Here is a 12,189-nt window from a genome sequence, read left to right on the forward strand (position 1 = left end):
AACAAGAGTGAAAACTCCGTCTCAAAAAAAAAAAAAAAAAAGAAAAAGAAAAAGAAAGAAAGAAAAGGAAAAGGGACATCTGGTCAAGGTCCCTGACTTACTCCAGGCCCAAGTCGCCCCTAAACCTGGCCTTTCACCCAATTTCAAAAAATCAAACAATAGCAAACAGTGAGTCTTTCTCCTAACACCTTGGCTTCCTTCCAGGACTCAGTTTCCCCTAAAATGAGCCCAACCCGACCAGATAGGAGAGGCAGAGTTGTGGTTTCTGTGGTCCAACAGGCTGGGGCTCCATCTCTTAGCTCAGCCATGCCTTGGGGACTGAGCGGGGGAATGATCTCAGACCAGGACCTTCACCTCCTGCAGCCTTGGTTTCCCCATCTGGAATATGGAGTGAGATCCAGCATGTAGCAGTCAAGGTATACAGTAGGTGCTTAATAAATGTATCATGCTATTAGTTATGATTTATTGGTAGAGCAGGAACTTTTCTCTCTGGCCATGACCTTGGGCAGGTCTCTTGTCCATACTGAGCCTCGGTTTTCCCATCTGGAAGATGAGCCGTGCATACCAACCAGAGGCCGCCTTCTGCTATCCCAGCACCTCTCACTCCTGGCAACCACGATGGCAGTGATAGGTGGGCCCTCATGGGGGCCAAGAAGAGGATCCCTTGCCCCTGCACCCTGAAACACTTAGGCAGTGATATTTTGGAAATTGAAAGGGTTTTTACTGAAAGGATCCATGGGGGGATGATGGGTAAGTTCTGGAAGGGGTAGAAGCGTTTGTGTGGGAGTTGGAGCATGGTGACAGCTGTGGGAGGCTCTCCTTGCAGGAACACTTGGTCGTTGGTCTCCATCCCACCCACTGGACTGAAACTACCATAGCCAAGACTAAAGACACCCGGAGATGTCCCTCCTGTCTCTAAAACACCCAACCCCCGCTTCCCCAGGTAGGGCTGACTGGGCACGTAAACAGAGTCCTGGGTCCTGAGTCCACAGCTCTCTCAATGCTGCTTCTTGTGGAGGGCTAGGGGGTCGGAGGGTGGTGGCTGGTGGAAGAATGCGGGCCACTGAAGGCAACGGTAGGCCAGCAGGTGGGGGCCCAGCGCATACAGCAGATTGCACACGAAGAAGCAGCCCCAGGTGTCCTCAGGCACACGGTAGGTGAAGGGTGTGCGCAGGTGCATGGAAGCCCCCATGTGCGAGAACTGTGCCTGGTAGCCAGACAGGGAAGATGGATGTCAGGGGCCAGGAAGGAACTGAAATCCCAGCATCACCGACAGCCCCCCAGGTAGGTCAGGCAGAACCCAGGGGATGCCCATCCCCACCTCTCGGGCTTTGCTCATCTATCTGTTTCCCATCTCCAGTCCATCTATCTGTTTTTTTTTTTTTTTTTTTTTGAGACACAGTCTCATTCTGTTGCCCATGCTGGAGTGCAGTGGTGCAATCTCGGTTCACTGCAACCTCCGCTGCCTCCTGGGTTCAAGTGATTCTCGTGCTTCAGCCTCCTCTGAGTAGCTGGGACTACAGGCGTGCACCTCTATGCCCAGTTAATTTTTTGTATTTTTAGTAGAGATGGGGTATCATCATGTTGCCCAGGCTGGTCTCGAACTCCTGAGGTCAGGCAATCCATCCATCTTGGCCTCCCAAAGTGCTAGGATTACAGGCATAAGCCACCATGCCTGGCCTATTTTTAAAATTTCTATCTATCTATCTATCTATCTATCTATCTATCTATCTATCTATCCATCCATCCATCTATCTATCTATCTATTTAGAGATAGGGTCTTGCTCTGTTGGCCAGGCTGGAGTGCAGTGGCACAATCATGGCTCACTGCAGCCCCAACCTCCTGGGCTCAAGTGATCCTCCAATCTCAGCCTCCCGAGTAGCTAGCACAGCAGGCACGTGCTACCATGCCCAGCTAATTTTTGTACTTTTTGTAGAGACAGGTTTTTGCCATGTTGCCTAGGCTGGTCTCAGACTCCTGGGCTCAAGCAGCCCTCCCACCTCGGCCTCCCAAAATGCTGGGATTACAGGTGTGAGCCACCTCACCTGGCCTTCTGTCTGTAAAGATTCCTGCCCTTACATGTCCTGTCTGTCCCTCCCTGTGCTTGTCCACTTGTCTGTGAGTCCCCCCCAACTTGCCTAACCCCATCTCCTGGGCCCTGCACCCCATCTCTCTCTGACCTGGCTCCAGATCCTCCTCCCAGTCTTCCCCACCCCAGAGGTCTTGGCACAAATCCTGTGGATTCTAAATGTTTTCCTGGTCCCTACTTCCCTGGCCGGGGCCCAGGATTTAGCACTTTTCATCAGGAACCCAGAAAAAGGCTCCTAGCTCTGACTGGGCCCCTCACTGCTCAAACTCCTCCTCAAACGCCCCATCACCCTCAGTACAAGCCCCTAGTCCCAGAGTTCAAAGCCTTCAGCATCCAGCTGCCAATTTCTCTTATCTGCCTTTACCTGGGTTATGGCCCTGCTAAGTCACTCTCTCCCTCTGTGCTTCTCCTTGTGCTGTTCCCATTCCTGGAATGCCCTTCCCTGCCTGGAGAACTCATCCTCGTACATCAAAGCCTAGCTCCTATGCCTTGCTTCTAGGAAACCTTTCCCCTCTGGAATCCTTCACAGCCCCTGTCCCTATTTTCATGGGGCTTGGAGTGTCTGTATCTGGCTTTGTCTCCCCTAGACTAGGGAATCCTGGGATATTGGGCCTGGGGCTGGGGCCTCTTGGGGGCTCATCATTACAGTGCCCAGGGAGGACACCAAAGGCATTGATGAGTAGACAGAAATTCCCTCCCACATGCCTGCTCACCCACCCATCCGCCACCTCACCTGGCCGATGCCTCCAGCAAACACCAAGGCCCAGTCTGGAAGCCAGGAGCAACCAGGGAAGGTGAGAGCATAGGCAGCCAGGCCGCAGAAAGGCAGGACATAAAACATGTACATCAGCATCTGCAGGGGCGGGAGGAGAGGGGCACCAGCCTGTGAGATGAGCAGCTACCCCAGGTGGGTCTCCTGAGACCCCTGAGGTGGAGGCCCTGAGGAAGGATCTGGATGGCCTCAGACCCCACCCAGGCTCTCTGCAAAGTGCTCCTCTATTTCCCTTGGGGATCCTTGCCCCCAACCCCCGAACACATACACCAAACCTACTAACCTTTCTCTGAAAGTGGCATGCGACCCTGGCCTAGCCAGTCGGAGCATTCCAGCCCCCTGTCCATGATGCTCAGTAAGGGATGGGCAAGTGATTCACGCTGGGCCAATCTGAGCCTGCCTAAGACTTGTGCTTAAGCTCGGGGGTAATAAGGGCTCACATTGCTCTGGGGTGGCTGAGTGGGGTGCATGGAAGCCTGAAGCTGCCACAGGCTGTCTCTGCCACCCCATAAAGGGACTGCCTGAGAGTGAAGCCATGCAAAGAAAGCAGAGCTCAGAGGCCGGGCATGGTGGCTCATGCCTGTAATCCCAGCACTTTGGGAGGCCGAGGTGGGTGGATCACTTGAGGTCAGGAGTTCGAGACCAGCCTGACCAACATGGCAAAACCCCGTATCTACTAAAAATACAAAATTAGCTGAGTATGGTGGCTCACGCCTGTAATCCCAGCTACTTGGGAGGCTGAGGCAGGAGAATCACTTGAGCCCAGGAGGTGGAGGTTGCAGTGAGCCGAGATCATGCCATTGCACTCCAGCCTGGGCCACAAGAGCAAAACTCTGTTTAAAAAAAAAAAAAAAAAAGAAAAAGAAAGAAAGAAAAGAAAGGAAAAGAAAAGAAAAGAAGAGCCCAGAGTCTGCACCTTGAGCACCTGGATCCAGCCATACCTGAAGACCACATCTGTCCTTTTTTGGTAGGACAGTAAATTCCATATGGGCTTCTGCCTGTTTGAGTTGTGCTTCTGGCACCTGCTTCAAAGAGGCCCAGTGGACCCCTACCCATGGCAGGGGTGTGGTCTTCTCCCCGCTCCCCTCTCACCTGCACCTTAGGGTAGGCCACAGGGTCCCGCAGGTATGGCTCATACTGGTAGATATAGACAAAGCAGGCATCTGTGGGGCAATCAAGCACCACCTGGAGCAGACAGACATACCAAGAACCCTCAGACATACCTCCCACAGGAAGCCTCCCCCACCCTCCCAGGCCCACACCCCTTGCTCTGGCCTCTCCCAGCCCAGCTCAAGTTGGGCTGGCTGGGAGAAATGGGGCTTTGTCATGGAACACTCAGGTTAGACTTGATGAAGAACTTCCTTGGATGATCAAACAGGAAGGGCAGTGTGGGAGAGGTGGGTCAGGGAAGGGAGACTGGTGGCAGGGGAGGGGGAGACCAACCAGCGCAGACTCACCAGGCCCCGGAACAGAGTGAAGAAGCCAGCAAGGATGAGATATATGACAAGGGCCAGGTCAGCCGGACGCTGCAGGAGTCCCTTTCTTTGTTCCTCTTGCACCTGGCCCAGGGGAGAGAAACAGACAGCATGAGAGGTAGTCAATGACAAGTATTCAGTAGGTACTCAATAAAGGTTCCTAAGGCTCCTCCCTTCTTTCTTTTTTTCTTTTTTTTCTTTTTTCTTTTTTTTTTTTTTTGAGACAGGGTCTCATTCTGTTGCCCAGGCTTGAGTGAAGCAGCACAGTCTCAGCTCACTGCAGCCTTAATCTCCTGGGCTCAAGTGATCCTCCCACCTCAGCCTCCCGAATAGCTGGGACCACAGGCATGCACCACCACATCTGGCTAATTTTTTAACTTTTTGTAGAGTTAAAAAATCTGGCTGTGTTGCCCAGGCTGGTCTCCAATTCCTGGGCTCAAGCGATCCTCATGCCTTGGCCTCCCAAAATGTTGGGATTACAGGCATGAGCCACCGCACCCAGCCCTCCCTTCTTTCTTGTGACAAAGGAGAACCTTCCACAGAAATTAAGTCTTTGACCAAAAGCAACTGACACGGGGAAAGTTCAGGCACATTGGGACAAGGCCTAAGAGGGGTAAGGCACTCACCATGTTGGCGGTGCAGCGGGTTAGCGCCCGGGGCTGGCTGAAGACCTTCATGCCAGCCCAGCATGGCACCAGCAGGTAGGGGATGGTGAGGAAGAAGGCAGGCCTGATCTCGGAGCTGTATTTGCCTTCCATGGTGCAGGAGAGAGGGCATCAGCCATGCCAGAACCCTGCTGGACATCTGTTTGTTTGTTTGTTCTGAGACAGAGTCTTGCTCTGTCACCCAGGCTGGAGTGCAGTGATGCAATCTTGGCTCACTGCAACCTCTGCCTCCCAGGTTCAAGCAATTCTCTTGTCTCAGCCTCCTGAGTAGCTGGGATTATACCTGGCTAATTTTTGTACTTTTAGTATAGGCAGGGTTTCACCATGCTGCCCAGGCTGATCTTGATCTCCACGGCTCAAGTGATTGATGAGGCAGGTGGATTGCTTGAGCCGAGAGTTGGAGACCAGCCTGAGCAACATAAGGATTACAGGCATGAGCCACCACACGTGGCCTCTCTGGCTGGACATCTTGATTCAGAAATACCATCCTCATTCAAGCTCCACCACCTTCCATGGCTCCCTAGTGCCCACAGGATGATGTCCATACTCCTTAGCCTAGCCTGCCTCAATTTACCTTCTGAATATGGATCCTACCTTCCAGTGGGTTCTTTGCTTCCTACAAATACACCTTGAGTGTTCCCTTTGCTGAGGTTTTGCCATGCCAACCTCCCAGACTGCCTTCACTGCTCTACCTCCCAAGACCTACCCCTGAAGCTTTCACCCTGTCCCCAAGATTCACCCTAAAATTCCCTTCCTGTGTCAAGACCATTCTGGGTCAAACCCCTGGGGCTGGGAACCATTGCCTGGGGAGGAAGCAGAGTTGGGTTCTCCCGCCTTCCAAGAGGAAACAGGGACCGGAAAGGGGTGGGCTGCTGACTGAGGCTGTGGACACGCAAAGAGGGAGGTGGGGCCTCTGCAGACATCAGGGAAGGGATGGAGGATCCAATGGGGGTGCTTCTAGGTGCAGGGCAGTGACCAAGCCCAAGAGAACCTGGATTTCCCAAAGCCTTGTCCTTACCAAGAATGTTTCCTGTAAGGAACACCAGGATGCTCATGGCGAAGGAACCCAGCCAGTAGAGTCCAAAATTCCGGTATCTCTTCCTGAGCAGGGGATGGAGGGGTGACCAGCAGGTAGTCACTCCGTAATCTCAGAGCCCCAGCCAGGGCCTGGAGACCACCGTGGGTTTCCCAGCTCCGGGTCCCTTTCAGTTTTGCCCAGGATGGAAGGGACAACAGGGAGTTGAACGGGGAAATAACAGTGAGACCCTCTGTCCAAGAACAGAAGTGGCTGCCCAGGCACAGGGTGGATGTAAGCAATGCTAGGCCACCACCTACACCTGAGACGTTCCCTGGAACCTTCTCCTGGCCACCCCTGGCTGGAGCCCTAGAGAGGCGTCCTGATTTCTCCTACAGACACTTCTGGCTCCACCCTGCCCTGGGACCCCATCTGAGGATGCAACTTCTCTCCCAGGGTCAGGGGCCACCCTCTCCCTGCCTCCTGCACCTTCTGCAGATGGCGCCGGCCATGGCCAGGTAGAGGAGGTAGTGAACAGTGCCATCCCAGTAGCAGATGAAGACTCCGTGCGCTGTGCGCAGGTATGGCTCTCCCTGTGGGGGCAGGTGGGAGACTCAGACGGGCAGTGCGGTAGGGGGCTCCCTGGTCGTCCCCCAAGTACCTCCTTGGTGTAGAACTCCATGAAGCCCACCACATAGCTGTCTTCCTGAAGAGCGATGATGAGGTCCACAACCGAGGTGAAGGCGAAGACAGCGAAGACTGCAGTGAGTGGGCGGGCCGGGTCAGGTGTGGGAGGGGACACGTGTGGGTGGGGCTAGGGCTTAGTGTGGGCGGGGCTTGAAGTTAAGGTCAGGGATGAGATTATTCCAGGCAAGGACTCCAGGCCCAGTCCCTGCCCCAACCCCAAAGGTTGCATGACCACAGTCCTGCCTCATTCTGCATGTCTGATGGAGGAGACACAGCCTGGCTCTCAGAAGTCCCTGGTTTGATTCAGAGGCCCAGTGCCTGCCTTTGGGAGTCCCCAGTCTCATGGGAGAGGCACCGTCCCTGCCCTCAGGAGATCTCAAAGTGATGAGGCAGTATACTCTTTTTCAGGAGCTTCTAATCTGATGCAGGAGATGCAGTCCCTGTTCTTAGGAGCCCCAGCTCTGAAGGGGGAGGCTCTTTGAGGTTCCCCAGTTTAATGGGAGTGTTCAAATCTCTTTGAGGTCTCCAGTCTGATGGGAGCTCTTAAAGGGCCCCCAGTCTGATGGAGGAGGCCCCTTAATGGCCCCCAAGTCTGAGGGTGGAGGCCCTTGCCTGGACAGTCTTCTTCCCCACAGCTTCCCACTGACTCACCAGCATAGAGTGGGTCATAGGAGACCTCGCCATGGGACAAGCTGTAGACCGCCACGAAAAGCAGACCCAGGATTAGGGCGCTCATCAATGCCACCCACAGGGGGCTGTGGAGAGGGAAGCCAAGTCAGGGAGGCCAGGCCCAGTGCTGAGGCATCGCCCCACTCTCCCTGGTGGGGGAAGGGGCAGACTCCTGGAAGCCCCAGGGGAAGAGACTAAAGTGTCTGTTCATCCATCAATGCTGTTCCCTGAAACTGCTCTCACCCTGTGCCAGGCCCTTGCTCAGGCTGTTTCTTCCTTCTGGAAACCGCTTCCAGAAGTCTTTTCCACTTGGCAAACTCCTACTCATCCTTCATGGCCCATCCACATTGTTCTTCCTCCATGAAGCGCTCCCTGACTCCCCAGAAAGGATCACTGTTTAACTCGGGCTAGCTACAGAGGGGATATTCATCAGCCTGTTTCTTTTTCTCTTTTCTTTTCTCTTTCTTTCTTTTTTTCTTTTTCTTTCTTTCTCTCTCTCTCTCTCTTTCTTTTTGAGACAGAGCACTGACACCCAGGCTGGAGTGCAGTGGTGCAATCTTGGCTCACTGCAACCTCTGCCTTCTGGGTTCAGGCGATTATCCTGCCTCAGCCTCCCAAGTAGCTGGGATTACAGGTGCCCACCACCACACCCGGCTAATTTTTGTATTTTTAGTAGAGACGGGGTTTCACCATGTTGGCCAGGCTGGTCTCGAACTCCTGACCTCAGGTGATTTGCCCACCTCGGCCTCCCAAAGTGCTAGGATTACAGGCATGAGCCACCACGCCTGGCCTGCCCCTTCTGACTTTACCATTTATCCCATCATTTGTTATGTGTTTGACTCAGTCTGTTCAGTCATTCGACAACGTCAAGCCCCTCTGTGGCCAGGCCCAGCTCCCAAGCCACAGGGTCTCGAGTGCTCAGTTCTGTAGACTTCATTGTCTGACGCTCCCAGCTCCTCCCAGCTAAAGTCCAAATGCCTCTATTAACTCCACCCTACCCCTGCCCTGATCTGCACCCACAACCTGATAAGACAGGTCAACCAGTTGCATAGATAACAGAAGCCAGGTCTCTGGGCAGCCCTCAACCCAGGTGGGCAAATCCAGGCCCAGAGAGGATGGGAGTACTGTCCAGTTGTCCAGGGTCACACTCAAGACTCTGTCCATCACTCTCCAGGCCCCTATTTTCTCATGATCCCCTCAGAACCCAAGATTTCCATCCTGACCCCATCTAACAATGACATTATAGTACTCAGATGAGACCAAGACAAATCTTTGTACACAGTTTATAATCCTTAACCGTAACTATGAGATGAGATCTAGGATCGTGCCCATTACACTGATGAGGGAACTGAGGCTCCCAGAGGAACTTGGCTCACCCAGGATCCCAGGAGATGGAGATGGGTATTCCCACCCAGGGAGCCAGGCTCATGGTTAAGACTCTCTCCACCCCATGGCTTGGGTTGAGCTGGGTTTAGAAGTACGAGGGGCTTGCAGATGCCCACTATCCGGTGGCTGGACCCACAGGGCTAGGATCTAGGGTTAGGAGACAGGGACCAGGAAAGGGAACCAGTAGGGGGAACTGAGTCTAGGGACATGGTTAGCCAGCCCTGAACAAGAGGAAAGTCACAGGCCTGAGACAGGCAATGGAGTAGGGTGTGTGTGTGTGTGTGTGTGTGTGTGTGTGTGTGTGAGCAGGAGTCAGGTACCCGGGGCCTTATCTGGGACAATACTTTTACCCTTGGTGACTTTGGAACCTAGGCAGGGCGCATCCCTGGGAAAACCCCAGAAACCCTCCAAAGCTCTGGCTTGTGGGGACTCATCATTCCTTCTTCCCAGGCCACAAACATCCCAGGAGCGGCCGCATCCCAGCCTCCAGCCCGGCGGGAAGGGGACTTCCGGTTAGAGGGGGGTGTTCTTCTGGCCCACCCCAATCCTGCCGGGTCGGAGCTGAGCTGGGGCGCAGGGCTCGCAGAAGCCAGGTCCGCGGACCGCGCATCCTCCCTCCAGCCCACCTCCAGTCCTCCCCGCCCCCGCCCGCCCCCACTGTCCCCAAGGCCGCCCTGGCCCCTCTCCGCACGCACTGCGAGAGCGCCGAGACGTGGTTGAGCGCGTAGGACACCGGGAGGGCGCTCAGCGACAGCGCCGCGATCTTGCCGGCCAGCGGCGGGATGTCCATAGCGGCGGCTGCTGGACCCCGGCTCAGCCCCGACGCGTTCTCCAGGGCGCTCGGCTCCTCGTTGGCGGCGAGTCCGGGCCGAGGCTGCCAGGGACCCGCCCCGCACAAAGGTCGACCCCGCTGCGCCCTGGGCAGGCCGCCGTGACCGCCCTGCGTGTTCCCAGGGAGCCTCCAAGGCCCCTCCCCGGCCCTCCCCCTGGCAGCTGCCCCGCCCCTTCGCCCCTCACCATCGACACCCTCGTCTCCAATGGCCGTCCCGCTACTCAGCCTCAGTTTCCCTCACTGTCAAAGGCTGGGACACAACACCTCGGGATGCTTCTGCTCTTAGGCCAAGGGGTGCGCCCTGGAGGTCCTGGCGTGCCCCCTCTTTCCCCTGCCTCCACAACTTCGTTCTAAGGAAATTTTCTCCTGGACTCTGCGCTTCTAAACCTCTGCATTCCCCAGAGTTTCCCATCCCCACCCAAAGATCAAGTCGGCATTCCCTGTGCGCACGGATGGAGCAACCTCCAGCTCTTGGGTGCAAAATGCCTTTCAGTGGGCTTAGATTTGAGTTTTCATAAGGTGGCCACAAATGTAAACGTGTTTCCAGGCAGGTGTGAAGTTTTTTTGTTTGTTTTTTGAGAGGTCTCACTCTGTGGCCCAGACTGGAGTGCAGTGGCCCTCCTCCTTGAACTCCCAGCCTCAAGAGATCCTCCTACCTCAGCCTCCCAAGTAGTTGGGACTACAGGTATGCACCACCACGCGCAGCTAGTTATTTTTTGTAAAGACAGAGGTCTCACTTTTTTGCCCAGACTGGTTTCAAACTCCTGGGCTCAACAGATCCTCCCACATCAGCCTCCCGAGGAGCTGGGATTACAGGCGTGAGCCACTGCGAGGGGTCTTTAAGTGTGAGGCTTTGACTCCGGGGCTGTCCCTTTGCAGGCTAGTCCCGGGTTTAGGGTTCTTCATTTCGGGGAGAGGGTAGAAGGGGTCCTAGCGGGTGGGGGCTGAAGTTAGAATATCGGGATGGAGCCAGTTTGGTGAAGAGTTTGGGAACGGTGTTCCTGGCAGGGAGGAAAGTGGCTCAGGCTTGGAACTGAGCAGTGGAAAGGAGGTCGGTTCTGCTGGGGTGTGATGAGAAGCGAGACAGCTGTGAGAGGCTGTGGGAGGTTTTGAACAGCTGGGAGGGGGCCACAGTATTGGGGGGGAGAATAAGGAGACCATCTGTCTTTGTCACCCCCTCCAACCAGACTCTGGCCCATGTGGAGTACTTGTGGATGCTGCAGACAGCAAGGTGAACCATGCCCACCTGACGCCTGCCCTGCGGGACCCCAGTCTGCAGCTGGCACAAATTCTAACCACTGCCCCTACCTCAGGCCCCATTCTGCACGCAGCCCCTTAGCTTGATGCCAACTGGGTCACAGGTCTTCCTGAACTGGGCCACAAGAGGGTCTTCTGGCCGCAGGTCTGACTCAGCCTCCTTCCCCAGGTGTCCACTGCCCATGGGTGAAGTTCAGGTTCCCCTGGACTTTCCCCAACTCTAGCAGGGTCAACACCCCCCAGGCCTGCTTTCTGTCTGTAAAATGAGCCTTCTTGTAAGCGGGCCCCAGCATCCCCTCCTCCAGGCAGCCCTGCCTGCCACCCCCACCCCACCTTCTCCACACAAGGCCAGGGTGCCTGTGCCCAGCTCAGCCTAGGGGCTTGGCCTTGTCCCGTGTACAGGATGCACCTGCACACGCACACAGCACTTGGAGGCCTCGTCCCCTGGCAAGGGGTAAAGTCCATGCCCTGAGCCTGGTGAGCCTCCAGGTTGCTGAGAACTGAGAAGTGACTTGGATGGCTGAATGCCTGGGACCCAGTGCCAGGATTCCCTGAACCACTGGCTGCAGAGAACTACCCCGCTGTGCTCAGGGTCCTGGCCCACTGCCTTCTGGGCAGCCCTCATTCATGGGCACCCAGGCCAAGCCCACCAATGTTACTCTTTGCTCTGCCTCAGCCACAGCGTCAGGAAAGAACAAAGGGTGGTATATCACCCCAGCCTTGGCTCTGCCACTGCATCTGGCACCTCCCTGGTCTCAGACCCCACTGAGACACTCTGCAGACCGCCCCACCACGGCTCCCTGGTTCCTCTCAGTAGCAGCCTCAGACCTCATCCCCAGCAGCCTGGCTGACTGGAGTAGATCTTGTCCACCTGGTCCCCACACTTGGCACCTAGTGTTTGCTGAATGGCTGTGTGAACACAAGCTGGCCCAGGAGCCCGACTCCATGCCAAGCATGTGAATAGGGAGCCCCTGGTGCCTGCAGGGGCTGGGCAGCACCCACTGGGTGTGTGTGGAGGGGGTGGGGGCAGATGGAAATGCAAATTCCCAGGGCCCTGCCCAACCAGCTGACTCGGCAGCTGCAGCTTAACAAGATCCCCAGGGTGACTTAGGCACAAATGTGGGGCTCTGGCCCTGGGGCAGATGTGGGGGTCTTGGCACACACTGTGGCCTGGGCTACCCTCCTGCCTCAAAACCTCCGGCTCTGAGGCCCTTCCTTCTAGGAGCTGCCTGACATGTTGGCATGGCACATCCATGCATCCATGCGGCTGTCCCCTAACGACACAAGCCCCAGGGACTCGTGTGCCTACCACACTGGTGGGACCTGAAGGGCCACAGCCAA

At 55.6% G+C, this 12,189-nt stretch overlaps 1 protein-coding gene across 1 annotated transcript, besides 1 other annotated feature; it reads right to left on the reverse strand.

The window, feature by feature from the left end:
• Positions 1–699: 699 nt before the first annotated feature.
• Positions 700–9,635, reverse strand: TM6SF2 (transmembrane 6 superfamily member 2). Its single transcript, NM_001001524.3, has 10 exons — positions 9,455–9,635; positions 7,356–7,459; positions 6,679–6,776; positions 6,507–6,610; positions 6,021–6,103; positions 4,964–5,088; positions 4,320–4,421; positions 3,955–4,047; positions 2,824–2,943; positions 700–1,207 (listed from the first exon to the last, which is right to left on the reverse strand). Exons 1-10 carry the CDS (start codon positions 9,547–9,549, stop codon positions 998–1,000), a joined length of 1,134 nt encoding a protein of 377 aa, NP_001001524.2. The 5' UTR covers positions 9,550–9,635; the 3' UTR covers positions 700–997.
• Positions 6,080–6,581: an enhancer, noted in NCBI's record as "H3K4me1 hESC enhancer chr19:19380555-19381056 (GRCh37/hg19 assembly coordinates)". NCBI's record gives its function as "activates a minimal SCP1, AML or CMV promoter by ChIP-STARR-seq in naive H9 embryonic stem cells {active_cell/tissue: H9 hESC(naive)}" and the evidence as "EXISTENCE:reporter gene assay evidence [ECO:0000049][PMID:30033119]".
• Positions 9,636–12,189: the final 2,554 nt, after the last annotated feature.

Source organism: Homo sapiens, chromosome 19, assembly GCF_000001405.40.
Source record: "Homo sapiens chromosome 19, GRCh38.p14 Primary Assembly".
Taxonomy (NCBI): Eukaryota; Metazoa; Chordata; class Mammalia; order Primates; family Hominidae; genus Homo; species Homo sapiens.